At 50.1% G+C, this 1,427-nt stretch overlaps 1 annotated feature.

Annotated features, from left to right (window-relative positions):
• Positions 726–1,227: an enhancer, noted in NCBI's record as "H3K4me1 hESC enhancer chr3:153514677-153515178 (GRCh37/hg19 assembly coordinates)". NCBI's record gives its function as "activates a minimal SCP1, AML or CMV promoter by ChIP-STARR-seq in naive H9 embryonic stem cells {active_cell/tissue: H9 hESC(naive)}" and the evidence as "EXISTENCE:reporter gene assay evidence [ECO:0000049][PMID:30033119]".

The following is a 1,427-nucleotide window of genomic DNA, read 5'->3' as shown; positions in this document are numbered from 1 at the left end:
TTGGCTTTCAGCTCCATCAGCTCCTTTAAGCACTTCTCTGTATTGGTTATTCTAGTTATACATTCGTCTAAATTTTTTTCAAAGTTTTTAACTTCTTTGCCTTTGGTTTGAATTTCCTCCTGTAGCTCGGAGTAATTTGATCGTCTGAAGCCTTCTTCTCTCAACTCATCAAGGTCATTCTCAGTCCAGCTTTGTTCCGTTGCTGGTGAGGAGCTGCGTTCCTTTGGAGGAGGAGAGGCGCTCTGCTTTTTAGAGTTTCCAGTTTTTCTGCTCTGTTTTTTCCCCATCTTTATTGTTTTATCTACTTTTGGTCTTTGATGATGTACAGATGGGTGTTTGGTGTGGATGTCCTTTCTGTTTGTTAGTTTTCCTTCTAACAGACAGGACCCTCAGCTGCAGGTCTGTTGGAGTTTGCTAGAGGTCCACTCCAGACCGTGTTTGCCTGGGTATCAGCAGCAGTGGCTGCAGAACAGCGGATTTTCGTGAACTGCGAATGCTGCTGTCTGATCGTTCCTCTGGAAGTTTTGTCTCAGAGGAGTACCTGGCCGTGTGAGGTGGCAGTCTACCCCTACTGGGGGGTGCCTCCCAGTTAGGCTGCTCGGGGGTCAGGGGTCAGGGACCCACTTGAGGAGGCAGTCTGCCCTTTCTCAGAACTCCAGCTGCGTGCTGGGAGAACCACTGCTCTCTTCAAAGCTGTCAGACAGGGACATTTAAGTCTGCAGAGGTTACTGCTGTCTTTTTGTTTGTCTGTGCCCTGCCCCCAGAGGTGGAGCCTACAGAGGCAGGCAGGCCTCCTTGAGCTGTGGTGGGCCCCGCCCAGTTCGAGCTTCCCGGCTGCTTTGTTTACCTAAGCAAGCCTGGGCGATGGCGGGCGCCCCTCCCCCAGCCTTGCTGCCGCCTTGCAGTTTGATCTTAGACTGCTGTGCTAGCAATCAGCGAGACTCCGTGGGTGTAGGACCATCCAAGCCATGTGCAGGATATAATCTCCTGGTGCGCCGTTTTTTAAGCCCGTCAGAAAAGCACAGTATTAGGGTGGGAGTGACCCAATTTTCTAGGTGCCGTCTGTCACCCCGTTCTTTGACTAGGAAAGGGAACTCCCTGACCCCTTGCGCTTCCCAAGTGAGGCAATGCCTCGCCCTGCTTTGGCTCACGCATGGTGCGCTGCACGCACTGTCCTGCACCCACTGTCTGGCACTCCCTAGTGAGATGAACCCGGTACCTCAGATGGAAATGCAGAAATCACCCGTCTTCTGCGTCGCTCATGCTGGGAGCTGTAGACCAGAGCTGTTCCTATTCGGCCATCTTGGCTCATGATTTTTATTCTTGATGATGATTTAGTAACTTTGAATTCACAGAGAGAAAATCTACTTAAATAACTGTAAAAGCATATATGTGGATACACTTGATATATTGATTAATTACTGCAT

This window comes from Homo sapiens, chromosome 3 (assembly GCF_000001405.40).
Source record: "Homo sapiens chromosome 3, GRCh38.p14 Primary Assembly".
Classification (NCBI taxonomy): domain Eukaryota; kingdom Metazoa; phylum Chordata; class Mammalia; order Primates; family Hominidae; genus Homo; species Homo sapiens.
Note: the sequence above shows the minus strand (reverse complement) of the source record. Positions and strands in the feature narration are given on the sequence as shown.